At 45.6% G+C, this 19,730-nt stretch overlaps 2 annotated features.

Annotated features, from left to right (window-relative positions):
• Positions 8,395–9,252: an enhancer, noted in NCBI's record as "OCT4-NANOG hESC enhancer chr17:26242505-26243362 (GRCh37/hg19 assembly coordinates)". NCBI's record gives its function as "activates a minimal SCP1, AML or CMV promoter by ChIP-STARR-seq in naive H9 embryonic stem cells {active_cell/tissue: H9 hESC(naive)}" and the evidence as "EXISTENCE:reporter gene assay evidence [ECO:0000049][PMID:30033119]".
• Positions 10,326–10,639: a silencer, noted in NCBI's record as "fragment chr17:26241118-26241431 (GRCh37/hg19 assembly coordinates)". NCBI's record gives its function as "represses an EF-1alpha promoter that drives an FKBP-Casp9 reporter gene in an ReSE screen in K562 erythroleukemia cells {active_cell/tissue: K562}" and the evidence as "EXISTENCE:reporter gene assay evidence [ECO:0000049][PMID:32094911]".

Raw genomic sequence — 19,730 nt, 5'->3', positions numbered from 1 at the left:
AAGAGCGAAACTCCGTCTCAAAAAAACAAAAAGAAAAACAAAAACAATTAAAAAAACGCCTGACCTCAAGTGATCCACCTGCCTCGGCCTCCCAGAATGCTGGAATTACAGGCGTGAGCCACTGTGCCTGGCCTATTTTCTCACCTTTTAATTGAAGTATTATATACACACATCTTTTTTTTCTCTCTGAGACGGAGTTTCACTCTTGTTGCCCAGGCTGAATTGCAATGGTGCAACCTTGGCTCACTGCAACCTCTGCCTCTAGAGTTCAAGTGATTCTCCTGCCTCAGCCTCCCGAGTAGCTGGGATTACAGGCAAGTGCCACCATGCCCAGCTAATTTTTGTATTTTTAGTAGAGACGGGGTTTCTCCATGTTGGCCAGGCTGGTCTCAAACTCCTGACCTCAGGTGATCCACCCGCCTTAGCCTCGCAAAGTGCTGGGATTACAGGCATGAGCCACCGTGCCCAGCCATACACACATCTTATGTTTATACAAATCTTAAGTGTACAGCTTAAAGAATTTCTACATAGGTATATACCCCTGGAACCACCACCCAAATCCAAGATACAGAGTATTTCCAGCTTCCTAGCTGAGTTCGTTGTGTACAAAAATTAGCTGGGTGTGGTGGTGCACACCTGTAGTCCCAACCTCACTCAAGAGGCTAAGGCAGGAGAATCACTTGAACCCTGGAGATGGAGGTTGCAGTGAGCCGAGATTATGCCACTGCACTCCAGCCTGGGTGACAGAGTGAGACCTGCCTCAAAAATATAAATGAATAAATAAATAAATAAATAAATAAATAAATAAATAAATAAAGCTGTCCGGGCACAGTGGCTCATACCTGTAATCCTAGCACTTTGAGAGGCTGAGGTGTGCGGGTCGCTTTAGGTCAGGAGTTCAAAACCAGTCTGGCCAACATGGTGAAATCCCATCTCTACTAAAAATACAAAAAAATTAGCCATGCGTGGTGGCGGGTGCCTGTAATCCCAGCTACTCAGGAGGCTGAGGCAGGAGAATCACTTGAACCCGGGAGGTGGAAGTTGCAGTGAGCCGAGATCGTGCCATTGCCCTCCAGCCTGGGTGACAGAGCAAGACTCTGTCTCAATAAATAAATAAATAAATAAATAAATAAATAAATAAATAAATAAAGCTACTATCAACATTTTTTCTACATTTTTTTGCACACAAGTACTCATTTCTGTTGCATATCCAGGATGAAATTACTGGGTCCCCGTCCTCTCCTTCACTGACGAACTTCTTGAAAGAATGGCCTATCCTCTTACTGTTGCCACATCCTCATTTTCCATGGATTTCTCATCAAATTGTGCCTGGCTTCTGTCTTCCACTCCCTTCCTGTTGACATTGCTCCTGCTCTTGCCATTAATGAACTCCCTCTGGCTAAATCCAGGGATCCTTTTGGATTCCACTCCATTGGACCCATCGGCAGCATTTGATAATGCTGACTTCTTTGACTTCTGCACCATGACTCTTGTTGGGTTTACCCCACCTCTCTTCTTGCTCCTCATCAGTCTCATTTGGAAACTCTTTATTCTATGCCTGCCTATTAAATGTTGGTGTTCTCAGGGTCTAGTAGCACAGGGAAACTTCTCATTCTACATTAAAGGCCTCACATTAGTGGCCTACACCAGACCTGTTTTGCTTGGCCCCCATAGTGTTTAAATAACGTTTACTATGAAAGTCTTTCAAGAAGGCAGATATTATTTTGAATTCTCACTGCACTAACCACCACTCTTTATAGTTCTGATTTGAGCTACTTCACTCATCTGAATTATTTTCTTGGTCCCTGAAAGCAACTTAGTTTGCAAACTTTTCTCTAATGTTTTCCTCCAGTGATGTCATTCTATTCCACAGGCTCAATTGCACATTGCTGACCCCTTCCAGATTCAAATCTTTAGTTTCCTCCTTTCTCTGATGCTCCAGACCTATATTTTTAACCCTTTGCTGGACATCTCCATTTGGACATTTCATGGACTTCTCACATGCATCATGTCCACATGAACTCACCATCTTTCCCTCCAGGCCTGGCCCTTTCCTGCACTCACTGTTGTGGTGAATGGCATCCCTATCCCTGCAGGCTCTCAAGCTTGGTGTCAGCCTCCATTCCCTTACCTTCTATATCTAATAGGTCATCTGATATCACTGCTTCCCTCCCCTATATATTTTCCCAATTGATCTCTTCTTCTCCATTGCTATTGCCATTGTCTTAATTTCTCTTCTTCTCTTGCTTGGATCATTCTTCATTCCACAAATATTTATCAAGTGCCTACTATGTGTTGGGCAATGTTCTAGGCACCAGGGTGAGAACAAGAGGCATAAAATTAACACGTCAACAAATACATACCCAAGAGAGCTTTAGGTAGTCATCAGTGTTGAAGACTAACTGGGCAGGGGGTTGAGAACAGGGCTATCTGAGATTGGGTAGTCAGAAAAGGCTTCTTGGAGGAGGTGATTTTTGAGCTGACACTTGAATAACATTGACAAGGAGTGAGCCCCTCAGAGGTCTAAGTGCAGAGTTCTCCAGGAAGGGGAAAAGCAGGCACACGAGACTGAAGGCAGGAGAGAACTCAGAGCGTTTGAAGGACAGCGAGATGGCCGTTGTGGCTGGAGCAGAGGGAGTGAAGGGAGAGGTAGAGCAGGGGCCAGATCACAGAGGTTGCACAGAACCTCACAGTCCATAGGAAGTGTTTTGCATTTTTATTCTTGGAAAGTTTTGAGCAAGGACGTGATCTGCCCTGATTGATATTATCAAAGGACACTCAGGGCCGGGCATGGAGACTCATGCCTGTAATTCCAGCACTTTGGGAGGCCAAGGCAGGAAGATTGCTTGAGCTCAGGAGTTCAAGACCAGCCTGGGCAATATAGTGAGAGCCTGTCTCTACTCTATTTTCATATAAATAAATAAATAAATAAATAAATAAATAAATAATTTACAAAGACCACTCAGGCTGCCGTGTGAAGAATCAACAGTAGGAGGTCAGAGAGATAGGCTGGAAATGTTTTAGACTGTCACAGCCAAAGTCAAACATTCAAGTGCAAGTAATTTATTGGGAAACACCAGTAAAGACATAGGAAAGTGGGACAGGGAAGGAAAAGCAGCCATTAAGACATGCATTATCAAGCAAGTTACCACTGTGGTCAACTGTAGCTTAGTTTTCCTGGGGAACCTTGAAGGCCCATGTAGAAATGTTCCTTCAATTGACCTTGTCCTAGGGATGAGGAAGGTGGGGTATTTACAGCAACTCCTTCAGTCATTGGCTGGGGGCTGCTGCTGGGGCAGCTAGAGGGGCTGTGAATTCTCCTGCATCCTGCTGTGTGAAGAGGGGGTGGGGTCCCGTCACCACAGAAAGCCCACAGGCAGAGAGATATAGACATGGCCTGCAGTGGGAAGGCCTGGGAGAGGTGGTGAGCATGGCAGAGGGTACTGCAGCCATCTGGGCACACGGCACCTTGCCTGGGTGCATGGGAGGCAGGTGGTGCATGGAGAGGCAATCAGTGCCGAAGCATGTGTTCGTCGGGGCCACAGCAGCCATTTGTGAGGCCATCCCTTTAGAATCCCTCTGGATGCCTGGAAGTGACTGGAAGGTGGGGCAGGAGTATCTGCAGGGGCCTTGTGGCTCTGAAGGAGTTGACAGGGATAAGAACCAATGAATGAAATGTGTGTGACGATTATTCATACGCTGCATTTTTTTTCCCATCTTCAGGCCTGGGAGTTGCATTTTGATTCTGTTCCTCTCTGTGACTGGCCTGTCTGTCATGCTCAGACCACACCATCATACCCAGTATGGATTTCTGAACACAGACTCCAATTCACCTCCCCAACTTCTGACCTTAGCTCAGTCCTCTGAACCCAAAGTCCCATGTGTGTCCCTGCAGACACCCCATTTCTCTATCATCTGACCCAGTCGTGACCTGCTAGCACATTGCCCTGTCTGCCTCATCTTGCCAGCCTGGCATAACTCCCAGAAAGGCTGCCCTTGGCTTGTCCTATTTTCTTTCTCTCCCTAATTTGACACTGACATTGACAGATAAAGACAAGGGAGACAGCCAAACCCCAGGGCGTAACCGGTAGATATCACTCAAACACTACCAAATTAATCCTCAGGATCTGGGATCATGCCTGTCTGAAATGTTAATCTCCACCACTTGGTACAGAATAGAGAATGACTTTTGAAATTGCCTTGTAGAGGAGCCATTGCCCAACCAGAAGATCCCAATCTCTAGACCCGGGGGCCCCGTTTCTGGGGAGGATAGAAAAAATTTGATATCAAGAAGGAGCAAGGAAAGATGGAAGGAAAACATCAAGCTCTAGCAAGTTTAGATTTGTGTACATCACAGTTTTACCCTAGCATGCATGGCCCATGGCCTGTTTGAGATGTTCCTTATTACAAGAGGAAGTCACACCTGGGGGTGTCTTCCTATATGTTTATGATCCCATACCTGTTACATTGGAATTATTTTCCACCCAAATAAAAGCAGTCACAGTTAGAAATTCCTTGACTCTTAATTTTATTTTATTAATTTTTTATTTTTTAATTTTTTTTTCACTTTTCAAGACGGGGTCTCACTCTGTTGTTGCCCAGGCTGGAGTACAGTGGTGCAATCATGGCTCACTACAGCCTCGACCTCCTGAGCTCAAGCAATCCTCCCACCTCAGCCTTCCCAGTAGCTGGGACTACAGGCAAGTGCCACCATGCCCGGCTAATTTTTGTATTCTTTTTATTTTATTTTTTTTGAGACAGAGTTTTGCTGTTGTACAGGATGGAGTGCAGTGGCGTGATCTTGGGTCACTGCAACCTCCACCTCCCAGGTTCAAGCGATTCTCCTGCCTCAGCCTCCTGAGTAGCTGGGATTAGCCAGGCGCCCGCCACTGTGCCTGGCTAATTTTTGTATTTTTAGTAGAGACAGGGTTTCATTATGTTGGCCAAGCTGGTCTCAACTCCTGAGCTCAGGTGATCCACCTGCCTCAGCCTCCCAAAGTGCTGGGATTACAGGCGTGAGCCACCGTGCCCTGCCTAATTTTTGCATTTTTTGTAGAGATGAGGTTTTGCCATGTTGTCCAGGCTGGTCTCAAACTCCTGGACTCAAGTGATCAGCCTGCCTTGGCCTCCCAAAGTGCTAGGATTATAGGCATGAGCCACTGCACCTGGCCGGATTTTAAACATTATCATGGCACTCTATTTTACTGAATATTAAATTTCCAGCATGGTTTTGAAAAGGAAAAAAGAACACCTGCTGTGGGAGAGGATTCCCGCTAACTGCAAACTGATATGGGAGCTGCCTGAATGCTGTTAGGTGGCCGTAGTGTAAGTAGGATTTGGGGGCCCCTAAGAGAGCTAGTGGACACAAGGGGGCATCCCTGGAGTTCTGGACTTGACCAAAATTGGGCAACTTCCCACTTGCTGGCTGCCTGCCCTGAGCAGTAATGACTGGCCTTGGGAGAAGCACCCGTGGTCTTACGGCCTCCTTTTATTCTCATGTATTTTTCTAACAAGCCTTGTCTAAACGCAAATGTGATTCCAGCTTTTTGATTAGAATATTATATAGTCATCCATTCCAGGAAAACCACAATTAGCACATGATTTTATTTCTGACTTGCTGTTTCTTTGTTTGGAAAGTTCGTTAGTTGTACGACGCTCCTGATAGAAGTGCGTAGAAGCAGCCATTCTTTGTGTGTGGGGAGGGACCTCCGCCAAGTTTTCTTAGATGGAAAGGTGTTGGCTTTTTCTTATCATGGGGAGATGGTGGAGTAGAGGGGGGAGTGTGGTGGGGGTGTGATATTCTACCCTAAAATATTTTTCAAAAATATACTGGCAACTAAATCTGGCCATGTTTGTGGGATTGGGTGGAGTTTTCCTTAAAGTGATAGGGCAGGGCACACTTTATCTCAAGGTTTTAACTGGAGTTGACACTTGGGAAGACATTCTCTTGGGTAATACATGCTGCAGAGACCACTCATGGGCAGCCTGATTCAGAGAGGCAGTTACTTGCCTACTGGCATACCACAGGCTGGCTGTGTGACCTTCGGCAATTTACTTAACCTCTCTGGATCACTATTTCCTCATCTAAATAAGATTACCTAACTCTTAGGGTAGTTGGGGGATTAAATAAAATCAGTAAATATCAGTTAATATTTATAAAGTGCTTAGGATAGAGCCTGGTTTCCAGCACATTGCATGAATGCTATTATATTATCCTTTCCTGCCTCTGCTAACAGAAAATGCCTTTCTAACAAACGCTTGTTAGAAAAGAGTCTACTGCCTATTGCGTTCCTATAAATGGCAGGCACTGTGCTAAGTACTTTATAAGCATTTAGCTTGTTTAATACTCAAGGATACAAAGTAGTGTTATGATCTCTGTGACGGTTAGTTTTCTTAGTCAACTCTGTTAGGCTATAGTACCTAGTTATGTAATCAAACATGAATCTAGGTGTTGCTGTGAAAGCATTTTGTAGACATGGTTACCATCTACAAGTCAGTTGACTTCAAGTAAAAGATTTCAGATTTACTGGCCCCCTCAATCATGTAAGCCAATTACTTAAAACATATCTTTTATTTTAAAAATGTGGGCCGGGAGTGGTGGCTCATGCCTGTAATCCCAGCACTTTGGGAGGCCGAGGCAGACGGATCACAAGGTCAAGAGATCGAGACCATCCTTGGCAACAAGGTGAAACCCCGTCTCTACTAAAAATACAAAAATCAGCTGGGCGTGGTGTAGCGCACCTGTAGTCCCAGCTACTCAGGAGGCTGACGCAGGAGAATCGCTTGAGCCTGGGAGATGCAGGTTGCAGTGAGCCGAGATTGCGCCATTGCATTCTAGCCTGGCAAAAGAGCGAGACTCCATCTCAAAAAAAAAAAAATGTTTGTATGTGTGTATGTGTGTGTGTGTACACTTATGAGGAAACTGATGATCAGAGAAACTAAGTAATTGCACAAGGTCATACAGCAGGATTTTGAATCCGGGGCTCTGTCATTACAAAGCCTGGTTTCCACCGTGGGATCTGTCTCTCTTGTAACATTTCAGTTGCAGCTGAAGGGACCTCGATTTCAGCCTGTTTATGGAGCATGTGCTGCTTTCTCACTTCAAACTCTATAGAAGTGCAATTCCTCTGACCATGTGGTCTGTTCTGTATTCTGGTGGCATTTGGAGGAAAGCCTGGAGTGAGGAGCAGGGGAGAAAGGAAGGGAAGGAATAAGAATTTTATCAGTGGGGTTTTTGGTTGCAAGCAACAGAAATGGACTCTCACCGACTTATAACCAAAGGAAAAGATTAGAAGAATATTGTTGATGTGGGGCAGCTCACAGCAAAAAGCACTCTGTGGGCTGCCCCTGTCTATACTAGGACAGGGAGAGAGGAGCTGGGCTTATCCAGGGAGAGGTGCTAGGAGTTACCAACTGCAGAAAATGAGGGAGGCTTTATTTCCCAAAAGGAAATTGGGATGCTGTTCTTTTTTCTTTGAGACAGGGTCTTGCTCTGTTGCCCAGGCTGGAGTGTAATAGCACAAACCCCACTCACTGCAGTCTTGCCTTCCTGGGCTCAAGCAATCCTCCTGCCTCAGCCTCTAGTGCAGTTGGGACCATAGGTGTTCACCACCACATCAGGTGATATGGTTTGGCTCTGTGTCCCCACCCAAATCTCCTCTCTAATTGCAGTCCACACGTGTTGAGGGAGGGACCTGTCATCCCTATACATCCCTATATATGGAGGGAGGGGAGTGATTGGATTATGGGGATGGTTTCCCCCATGACAGTGAGTGAGTTCTCATGAGATCTGATGGTTTTATAAGGGGCTCTTCCCCCTTCCTCCTCACTCTTCTTTCTCCTGCCACCTTGTGAGGAAGGATTTTTTTGCTTCCCCCTCCACCATGATTGTAAGTTTCCTTAGGCCTCCCCAGTCATGTGAAACTGTGAGTCAATTAAACCTCTTTTCCTTTATAAATTACCCAGTCTCAGGTAGTATGTCTTCATAGCAGTGTGAAAACAGACTAATACACCAAGCCATTTTTTTTTTTTTTTTTTTTTTTTTTGTAGAGACGAGATCTCACTATGTTGCCCAGTTTGGTCTTGAACTCCATGGCTCAAGTAATCCTCCTGCCTCAGCTTCCAAAAATGCTGGGATGACAGGCATAAGCCAACATGCCCAGCCTGGGATACTATTTTGAAGGGAAATGGATGCTTGACAAATGCCAAAATGATAAATGACCACTATCACAGTAAAGATTCTTGGTTTGGATCCCATTTTGCAAAATAATTCAGAACAGGCCCATGACCAGTACCCAGAAATGGCACTTAGGACTTGTGAGGCCATATGGAGCACATCTCTCAGCTTTAGCTTAAGATTTTTGGCTGTAGGCAAAGACTCCTTTTATGCAAACATTCCCATGTGAAACATAAATAGCCATCATAATAACGAATCTCCATTGAACACTGGCTGTATGCTGGGCACTGTTATAAGTGCATGGCTGGATGCTCGTCTCGTTTTTCCACCAACTCCATGACGTAGGTACAATTTTCACCACCATGCTATGTATGAGAACACTGAGGGCCATGGAGGTTAACTTGGTTAACTCACTCATCCACATGGCCAGTGAATGGCAAGCAGTACACAATGATGTCTTTTTACAATTCGAATTCTAGAATGTTAAATAGCACTGGGGACTGTCTATAATCGCAAACAGCAAAGGTCCTAGAGGCAAGCCTTCCTCCTAGCTGGAGAGCTCGCAGAGTCTGATGCTAGCTTGATAAAGATTCTGCCTTGATGTCTGATCTGAGGTGTTCAATTCCATTTTCTTAATGGCTGTCAATCAGTTCCCCACTGTGTCCCCTGAGGCTGGACCCAGCAGGGGTGTCGTCAGCACTTAGGAATATCATTAAGAACAAAGCCTGATTCGGGCTGTTTGTTTTTCCCCAGTGAGATTGCCCACCCCTCAACACAGTCAGGAATGAGCTCAGATGTCGCTCAGTGCTAAATGAATTGCTTCTGAAAGCACTGGGCTTTCCCGAGGCACCCGAGTCTACCAGAGCGAACAGAAATGACATATGAGTTCCAATGTCTGCAATCACTTTTGCTTCCAGGTGCTTCACCGGCAATGTCTGATGGAAATATAATGTAAACTGCCTTTGTCATTTTAAATTCCTAGGAACCATATTTTTAAGAAGGTGAAATTAATTAAAAACCTTTTTTTTTGAGACAGTCTTGCTGTGTTGCCCAGGCTGGACTGGAACCCCTGGGCCCAAGTGATTCTCCTGCCCTAACCTCCCGAGTAGCTGGGACTACAGGTGTGCACCACCACGGCCGGTGCTAATTTAAAAAAATATATTTAGCCAGGTGCGGTGGCTCACGCCTGTAATCCCAGCACTTTGGGAGGCTGAGGCAGGCGGATCATGAGGTCAGGAGTTCAAGACCAGCCTGGGCAATATGGTGAAACCCCATCTCTACTAAAAAATACAAAAATTAGCCAGGCATGGTGGCACACGCCTGTAGTCCCAGCTACTCAGGAGGCTGAGGCAGGAGAATTGCTGGAACCCAGGATGTGGAGGTTGCAGTAAGCCGAGATTGTGCCATTGCTCTCCAGCCTGGGTGACAGAGTGAGACTCCATCTCAAAAAAATAAATAAATAAAATAAGAAATATATTTAATTTAACACAATAATCCAAATATTACCATTTCAACATGTAATCTACATAAAAATTTATTTGGGCCAGCCGCTGTGGCTCATGCCTGTAATCTCAGCACTTTGAGAGGCCCAGGCAGGCAGATTGCTTGAGCTCAGGAGTTCAAGACCAGTTTGAACATCATAGTGAGACCTCATCTCTACAACAAATACAAAAATTAGCTGGGCTTAATGGTGCACACCTGTGGTCCCAGGTACTTAGGAGGCTAAGGCAAGAGGATTGCTTGAGCCTAGGAGGTTGAGGCTATAGTTGAGGCCATCCAGGGATGGCACCACTGCACTCCAGCCTGGGCGAAAGAGTGAGACTCTGTCTCAAAAAAACAATTTTTTTTTAATTAAAGAGGTACTTTACATTCTTTTTGTCATAGGAAGTCTTTGAAATCCAGTATGCACCAAGCACACAGCTCGGTCTGGAGTGGCCCCCTGTGGGACAGTGCAGCTCTAGACTGTCACACTTTCAACAACTTTATTCCTCGCACCAATGACTGGGGAGCTGAGTAGGCAGGGGCCAGGTTGCCTACTCTGCGTTTTGGATTTTGGCCCAAACGTGGAGAAAAGCCACTGACCCATTTTAAACAGGACAGTAGCGGGATCTGACCGCAGTTTTAAGATGATGGCTCTGACTGGTAACAGGATAAGTAAGTTGGGCCAGTAGGGGACTCTTTTCCCTCCTCCTCTCCTAACTCCACCATAAACACATAGAAATGACTTTCATTTTAAAAACTAAACTAGGCCGGGTGCGGTGGCTCACGCCTGTAATCCCAACACTTTGGGAGGCCGAGGCAGGTGGATCACCTGAGGTCGGGAGTTTGAGACCAGCCCGACCAACATGGAGAAACCCCATCTCTATTAAAAAATACAAAATTAGCCAGGCGTGCTGGCACATGCCTGTAATCCCAGCTACTCCGGAGGCTGAGGCAGGCAAATCGCTTGAACCCGGGAGGCGGAGGTTGCGGTGAGCCGAGATCAGGCCATTGCAATCCAGCCTGGGCAACAAGAATGAAACTCCACCTCAGAAACAAACAAACAAACAAACAAACAACACTAAACTAAACTAAATCAAACAGTGGGTCTGAGTTTCACATAAAGAAAGGCAAATAATCCTGAGGCAGAGATTAGGAGAGGTTAAAGACAGAGCAGAAAGATCCCAAGTGGATTCTGTGGCTGCTGAGAGGTGGGAGTGGGGTGGGGGGAGTTCCAGAATACAAACCCTAATGGCTTGGGGCTGGAGTTTTCATGCCTGGGCTGGGACAGGGACAAAGCTTGGGCTCACTTGAAAAGGGGACTTGGAACTGAAACCGTTTCATAAATGCAGGACCCTGAAAAGAATCCCACAGCCTCCAATGAAATGACCCAAAATATCTTCCCTCACCTACTCAGGGAGGAAACAAGAAATCTTGTCTTTATCTTGTGGATAAAATAATCTGTAAAAAATTAGAACAGCAATCCTGTGTCATGTAGAGAAGTACAGTGGAAAAATGGCACTATCTGAATAGTGTGGGAGTTCTCAAGTTAAGAGGGCAAATTGAGGCTGGGCACAGTGGCTCATGCCTGTACTCCTAGCACTTTGGGAGACCGAGGCGGGTGGATTGCCTGAGCTCAGGAGTGCGAGACCAGCCTGGGCAACGTGGTGAAACCCCGTCTCTACTAAAACACAAAAAATTAGCCAGGCATGGTAGCGTGCACCTGCAGTCCCAACTACTTGGGAGGCTGAGGCAGGAGAATTGCTTGAACCTGAGAGGCAGAGGTTGCAGTCAAAAAATAAATAAATAAAAAGAGAGCAAATTGGTTCCAGACCAATGAGTTAATGTGAGGCAGCAGTAGGAGGGGGAAACTGGTTAGGAGGCTCCTGCAGCATTCCCATTCTTGAACTTTAAAGTGCAAATGAGTCACTGGGGATCTTATTAAAACGCAGATTCTGATTCCTTACATCTAGGTCTGGGGTGGATTCAGAGATTGCACTTCTAACAAGCTTCCAGTGATGCTGGTTCCCAGTCTACTCTTTGAGTAGCAAGGCTCTTAGTGACAGACAGTGGTGGCTTGGACTAGGTTGGTGGTGGGATGGAGAGAAGAGGATAGATTCAAGAGAGAAGCTGAGGAGAGAATCAACAAGACTCACTGTTAAGGGGAAGGGAGAGTCAGGGATGGCTCCTGGGTTTCTAGACCAGGGCAGGAACGGGCTTTTTTAGGGGAAGGGACTGTGTGTGTGTGTGTGTGTGTGTGTGTGTGTGTGTGTGTGTGTGTCTGTGTGTGTGTGTGGCAGGACAGGAGGGATCAAAAATTCATGGAGAGGCAATTCCAAATACTGTGCCTTATCTCCTTTCTATACAAAAATGTTGATCTAGAACTAGAAATACCATTTGACCCAGACATCCCATTACTGGGTATATACCCAAAGGACTATAAATCATGCTGTTATAAAGACACATGCACACGAATGTTTATTGCGGCATTATTCACAATAGCAAAGACTTGGAACCAACCCAAATGTCCAACAATGATAGACTGGATTAAGAAAATGTGGCACATATATACCATGGAATACTATGCAGCCATAAAAAATGATGAGTTCATGTCCTTTGTAGGGACATGGATGAAATTGGAAATCATTATTCTCAGTAAACTATCGCAAGAACAAAAAACCAAACACTGCATATTCTCACTCATAGGTGGGAATTGAACAATGAGAACACAGGGACACAGGAAGGGGAACATCACACTCTGGGGACTGTTGTGGGGTGGGGGGAGGGGGGAGGGATAGCATTAGGAGATACACCTAATGCTAGATGACGAGTTAGTGGGTGCAGCGCACCAGCATGGCACATGTATACATATGTAACTAACCTGCACATTGTGCACATGTACCCTAAAACTTAAAGTATAATAAAAAAAAAATGTTATGAGCCATTCAGGACATAAATGATCTATTTTCCCAGTTTGGGTTCCTGACAGCAATCTTTGCTTGGTGGCCCAATGTGGCAAGTCTTAAGTCTTAATGAATAGCCAACTTTGTAAATGAGGTCCAGAAATGGCCAGCACACGACCCCCTCTGCCTCTCATGCACTCAACACGCACCTGACCTGACCAGCAATGATCATGACACTTAAACTAGTTGAATGTGGGCTCTCTCTATTAGAGTCTTCCAAACTCCTCCGCATGCAGTCAATGTGAATGGGCAGAGGGCGTGAGCATTGCAGTTTCTAATAAATGATACAGCACCCAGAATTAAGGATATGTTTTGAGAAATATGTATTTTTAAAAGGAAAATAGGCCAGGTGCGGTGGCTCATGCCTATAATCTCAGCACTTTAGGAGGCCGAGGCAGGCGGATCACCTGAGGTCAAGAGTTCGAGACCAGCCTGGCCAACATGGTGAAACCCCCGTCTCTACTAAAAATACAAAAATTAGCCGGGCGTGGTGGCCGGTGCCTGTAATCCCAGCTACTCAGGAGGCTGAGGCAAGAGAATCGCTTGAACCCAGGAGGCGGAGGTTGCAGTGAGCGGAGATCGCGCCATCGCACTCCAACCTGGCGGACAAGAGCGAGACTTCGTCTCAAAAAAAAGGGAAAATAAATTACCTCTGTGCCAGGCACATTGCTAGATACTTTTACAGATGTTATGACAATTCTTCCAAATAGGTTCTATGATTCCTGTTTTCACAGATGAAGATAGTGAGGCTCAGAGGGGTAAGTGACTTGCTCCTGATCACACACAGCCCATGAATGGAAAGGGTGGGAGTTGAACCCCTGTGAGTCTTAGTCCAAAGTTGTCCACATGGCTCTGGGCTCTCAATTGCAGGCTCCGTGCCATGTGCTGAGCAAGGTGCACAGAACTTCATAAAACATCACTCCGGCCTTTAAGGAGTTTAATCTAAATAAAGAAGGAGCTGGGCGCGGTGGCTCACTTTGGGAGGCTGAGGCAGGCAGATCACAAGGTCAAGAGATGGAGACCATCCTGGCCAACATGGTGAAACTCCGTCTCTACTAAAAATACAAAAATTAGCCAGGTGTGGTGGCGTGCGCCTGTAGTCCCAGCTAGTCAGGAGGCTGAGGCAGGAGAATCGCTTGAACCCGGGAGGTGGAGGTTGCGGTGAGCCGAGATCGTGCCACTGCACTCCAGCCTGGTGACAGAGTGAGACTCTGTCTCAAAAACAAACAAACAAACAAACAAAAACAATAAGGAAGGAAGACAACCCTGCAAATATACTTGATGTGTGGCCTTGCATTGCTGTTTAGTCTGCTGGAGTGCTGCAGATGTCAGTGTCATTGGAGATACTCCTTCAGACTCAGCATTGGGGAGTTTCAGCAGAGTCTTCTAGACAAGGCGGGACCTGTGCATGCAAGAATAATTAGGAATGGAGAGAGTGAACCTTCCAGGTGGCAATTACAGGTAGTGGGACTAATCAAAGTCAGGCAAGGAGGCAGCCTCTGACAACAGTTTTTCCCCTCCTCTTTTTTCCACCTTCCATCTTCCCTACTATAATAAAATCCAAATGGGGATTTCCAGGCCCAGGTTAAAGGCTGGAAATCCTTCAGGCTGAGATAGGTGTCCATTTCCGGTTCACTCATGGCACTCTGTGATTATTGCTAACAATGGTATTTCCACATAAAATGATCGTTTTATGGGTTTCCTCCTTAAGGTCAAGAACTTTGTTTATTTTTGAATCCCCAGAGCCCAGAGCAGTGCCTGGCATGTATTAGGTGTTTGATAAATTTAAAAACAATTGAAGAATATTTTTCTTGATGATTTTTTTCTCTCCTCTGCATTCCTCTGTTATTTGGTTTGTGCTACTCTCTATTACTTGACATATGCCTGAAACACTGAGTCAATATATCAGTGATTTAAACAAAATAGTTTATTGCTTCCATGTAAGAGTAGGAATAGAAACAGTCCAAACTGATATGGGGTCTTCAGGGTGTCCTATAATCTGGACCCTACCAGTCATTCACTCCGTCAGCCCTAGCATGCTGTCTACATTTCCATGGTTTGAGGTGGTCACCACCACATCTTTGTTGGAACCGGCAGGAAGGCAGAAAGAGGAAAGAGAAAACAGGCTTTCTGACTTCGCTTCCTCCCACTCTCTCTGTTTGTTTGTTTGTTTGTTTGTTTCTTTCTTTCTTTCTTTCATTCAGACAGGGTCTTGCCCCATCACCCAGGCTGGAGTGCAGTAGCACAATCATGGCTCACTGCAGCCTACACGTCCTGGATTCAAGTAATCCTTCCACCTCAGCTTCCCGAGTAGCTAGACTACAGGTGCGCATCACCATGCCCTGCTAATTTCTTTTTTTACTTTTTGCGGAGACAAAGTCTCATTATGTTGTGCAGGCTGGTATCAAACTCCTGGGCTCAAGTGATCCACCTGCCTCTGCCTCCCAATTACAAGTGTGAGCCACCACGCCCAGCTGCTTTCTTTTGTAAGATACAACACGGAAGTTGCTCCCATCACATCTCTTTCCATCCTATTCTCAGGACCTAGTCACATGGCCAGATCTATACAAAGGAGACTAGGAGAGGTAGATCTTATTTGGGTAACTATCTAAGGCCAAAATTTCTATTACCAGAGAAGGAGAGCGCAGATATGGGGCTGTGGAGAGGGCAGGGACAAGTTGTATGCCTGCCACACTTTTATATGGCATTCGTCAGGGATACTTTAGTCTTAGCTTTTTCATTGTTTTGTTTTGTTTTGTTTTGTTTTTTGAGATGGAGTGTCCCTCTGTCGCCCAGGCTAGAGTGAAGTGGTGCTATCTCGGCTCACTGCAACCTCCACCTCCCGGGTTCAAGCAATTCTCCTGCCTCGGCCTCCTGAGTAGCCGGGACTACAGGCGCACACCACCACGCCAGGCCAATTTTTGTGTTTTTAGTACAGTCGAGGTTTCACCATGTTGGCCAGGATGGTCTCGATCTCCTGACCTCGTGATCCACCCGCCTCAGCCTCCCAAAGTATTGGGATTACAGGCGTGAGCCACTACGCCTGGCCTAGCTTTCTCATTGTAAAATAGGAATAATCATGTTCACCTTATAGGATGATGATGTTACTGGAAAGAGGTCCCGATCCAGACCCCAGGAGAGGGTTCTTGGATCTTGTGCAAGAAAGAATTTGAGGCGATTCCATAGAGTAAAGTGAAAGCAAGTTTATCAAGAAAGCGAAGGAATAAAAAAAAAATGGCTACTCCATAGGCAGAGCAGCAGCTTAGACTGCTGGACTAAGGATACTTATAGTTATTTATTTTTTTCTTTTTTTTTGAGACAAAATCTCGCTCTGTCGACCAGGCTGGTATGCAGTGGCACAATCTCAGCTCACTGCAACCTCCGCCTCCTGGGTTCAAGTAAGTCTCCTGCCTCAGCCTCCTGAGTAGCTGGGATTACAGTCACATGTCACCATGCCTGGCTAATTTTTGTATTTTTAGTAGAGGCTGGGTTTTGCCATGTTGGCAGGCTGGTCTTGAACTCCTGACCTGAAGTAACCCACCCGCCTTGGCCTTCCAAAATGCTGGGATTACAGGTGTGAGCCACCACATGCAGCTAGTTATTTCTTGATTATATGCTAAGCAAGGGGTGGATTATTTCTGAGTTTTCCTGGAAAGGGGTGGGCAATTCCCAGAACTGAGGCTTCCTTTCCCTTTTAGACCATATAGGGTAATTTCCTGACATTGCCGTGGCATTTCTAAACTGTCATGGCACTGGTGGGAGTGTCTTTTAGCATACTAGTGCATTATAATTAGCATTTAATGAGCAGTGAGGACCACCAGAGGTCACTCTCATCGCCATCTTGGATTTGATGGGATTTGACTGGTTTCTTTACCGCATGCTGTTTTATCAGCAAGGTCTTTGTGACCCCCTATCTCATCCTGTGACTTAGAATGCCTAACCTCCTGGGAATGCAGCCCAGTAAGTCTCAGGCTTATTTTACCCAGCACCTATTCAAGATGGAGTTGCTCTTGTTCAAACGCCTCTGACAGTGGTGAGTACTGAATGAGAAAACAGTTGTGATTATGCCTGACATAGTGTCTGGCATACAAAAAGATGGCCAAAAGTGTTAGTGTCCTTTCTTCCCTTTCTTTTCTGGAGATGTCTAGACAGTTCCCCATAATATCCATATGATAATATGCTTGATCTATTTTTTTTTCCCTCCAAGGTATAGTTGTTATTGAATTACTTGCAATTGTCAAATCATAGGTGGTCATCTTATCTTTCCTCTGACAGTAGGAGTCCTTTCATGGCAGAGGCTGTATCTTGCACAACTTGGATCTTATAGCATGCCTTGTACACAGATATTCAATCAATAGTTGCTAAACGAATACGTGGGTGAAGAAGAGAAGAATCTTTTCATCATGTCATCACTGTGTCTCTATGGAGTGGGATTTATCAATTACATTGAGGCAACAACACAAATGTATCAGCATTATCCAGGTTGTGGTCCCACAAAATGTTGGTGCAGTATGGAACATGGACACTCTCATCCCCGCCTTCTGGTGATGCACTGGAGCCAGGGAAGGGTCAGGTCTGGGACAGGATGACTCTCTTCCCAAAACACATGTCACAGCACAACTGCACCACAACCATCTTCTCCCTCTTTCCTCTGACTCTCCATCATAAGGAGAACTCACTCTCCCCTTCATAATTGCAGACATACTTCTTGAAAGTTAGAATGCAAGTATTTGGGGAAGAGGAAAATGGCCGTGATGGTCAACATTTTATAGAGTCTTGAATCTGCTCTCCTGGCACCTTTTGGTCATCTGGTTTGGGTGTAGGGGGGAAACTGCCCCTCACCTTGTGAAACAGTTTTACAATTTGATGATGCCAAGCCAGCTGGCCCCAGAGAGATGTGTTACCATGACAAATGTAAGATCACCTAGTGGTTAGCCACTTGACCTGAACTTGTTATGTCTGGACACTCATGCTGAGGGCGATTACACCCCGGAAATCAGAGACTCATAGACCCGCCTTGGTTGCTGGTTTTTCCCATTTTCTTCAGTCTCCTAGACCTAGACAGGGTTATCAGCTCCTTTCCTATTCATGCCTGGCATTTCCTTGCTCTATGCTCTCCTGGGGCTGGGATGCTTTCAGTGGATCCTGCCCCTCCCTCCCCAAGCCAGGAGGGGCCCTGGCCTCTATGACAGCAAATCCATTGCACCACTTAAGTTTAATTAGAGCACAATGACGGATGATTAGTTTACACATCAAAGCACTGAAACAATTCAACAAATTGGCCCCATCCCAAAGCCCAGCGCAGGAGCTGGCCTTGAACTCAGAGGCTCTGCCTGCTGGGGCAGGGGAGCTAGCAATGAAAGCTTGGGAGCCCCATGCAGAGGTGCACAGAAGGAGTTCTGCTTCTGCAGTGAAGAAATGGATCCCAGCTGTTTCCAACCCTAATTGTGCTCAGCGTCTCTCTCACCTTGGCTTTCCAACTCCATGCCCTCCCTTGGCTGCTGCTTAAAGTTTACGTGTAGTTGACTCTAAATTATTTGGGGACTGATTATTCAGTCCATGGGTTATCCAAACCCTTTGCTAATCCTTTCTTTTTTTGCCCTGTTACTCTCCAAGTGGGATTTTTGACTGTTCATTAGGACACCTACCAGGGAATTAGAGCAAAAAGCAAATGAGTTAATCTTCTTCAAACCAGGCCACTTGGCTACCAGCCATTTTTTTGTTTGAGGTTTGGTGGGGGAAGGAGATAGAAATTATAGGTTGCAATGAGGTAAATGGATTATTTCTGGGTCTCCTTCATGCACACTCTACCCATTCCATGTGGATGACCAAGAGGCAGCTGTACACATGAAAGCACTCTGCATTAGACTGTCTTTGCCTTTTATTACATTTTTCAGATTTCTTCTTGTCATGCTGGGGCCCCAGAGATGCTGCCTGTGTACTGGGAGAGGTAAGCAGTTTGGTTCCTCTGGCTCAGAAGAATAGTTTGTTCATACTAATGATCAGTGAAAAAGCAAACAAACAAAAGTCCCTAAAGGTTCACCCAGTATCTGAGCCAAATTGACCTTCATACCTGGTCCTGCACACATTCCCATCAAAACAATTGGTGTCCTGCTCCAAGGTCGTTACCGTCAAAGTCGATGGCAGAGGAGACTTAAATCTAGATCTTCCTCATAGCCCTTATCCCTCGGGACTATATGATCTTTCTCATTGTCGGAAGAAAACAGAGCTGTGGCTACATGAAAATCTCATGGAGCACAAAGGCTCAGGCCTCCTTCCTGAACAATTGATGACGGCGTGCTGCATGGTAGGATTCTAGTTCCCTTGCTGTGGGCCTTGGGGGTGAGCAGGCATCAGCCTTACTGCTGTGATGTGGGCAGACAGATGAATGCTGGCTGCCTCTAGCACAGGACAGTGGGCAGGAGCTGAACTGGGTTCAGGCTGCTATAAGCAAAGCACTTCAGAAGGAGGGTGACTCTGTGTGATTAGCATAAACCAGGAGTCTATTGATCTGGCTGATTAGAAAGTCTTCCAAGGCACCAGGGTAATTAGCACGATGTACAGAGTAGCAGTTATCAGCTTCATTGCCTAATTAACAATGTAAATATCTTTCTAAATGACATTTTATAATCCTGATTAGACCCTCTAGCATTTGCCCTGTTCGCTGCTAATTCCTTCCCAGATGTAAGGATAGTCAGATAGTCGTCTTTCTTCCATGCCTGACATCACATTTCTGCATCACATACCATAAAGCAGTTGTACACACCCCACATCTCCTCTTTTGTATCTAACTAAGGGGTCTGCTCTGCTTCGTCTCTCCAGCCCGAAATATACAGTCTGCCAAATGAATTGCCAATTAAAAGTACTTAATTAAATGTGAAAGGGGAGTTCTATCATGTGCTGGATTTTGAACTATTTTTTATTTATGTGCTTAGCAGGATAAGTCATCTTAAATTAGCATCACATTTTTTCCTCTGAAGAGCATGTGAGAAATGAGGCTATTAGGAGGAAAGGTTTAACACAATATTTGTGTATACTAGTCATGGGTGCAAAGACTCATCCCAAACGCATATGTTGCTTTGGCAAGCAGAGTTGTTCTTCATATTTATTTT

Source organism: Homo sapiens, chromosome 17, assembly GCF_000001405.40.
Source record: "Homo sapiens chromosome 17, GRCh38.p14 Primary Assembly".
Classification (NCBI taxonomy): Eukaryota; Metazoa; Chordata; class Mammalia; order Primates; family Hominidae; genus Homo; species Homo sapiens.
Note: the sequence above shows the minus strand (reverse complement) of the source record. Positions and strands in the feature narration are given on the sequence as shown.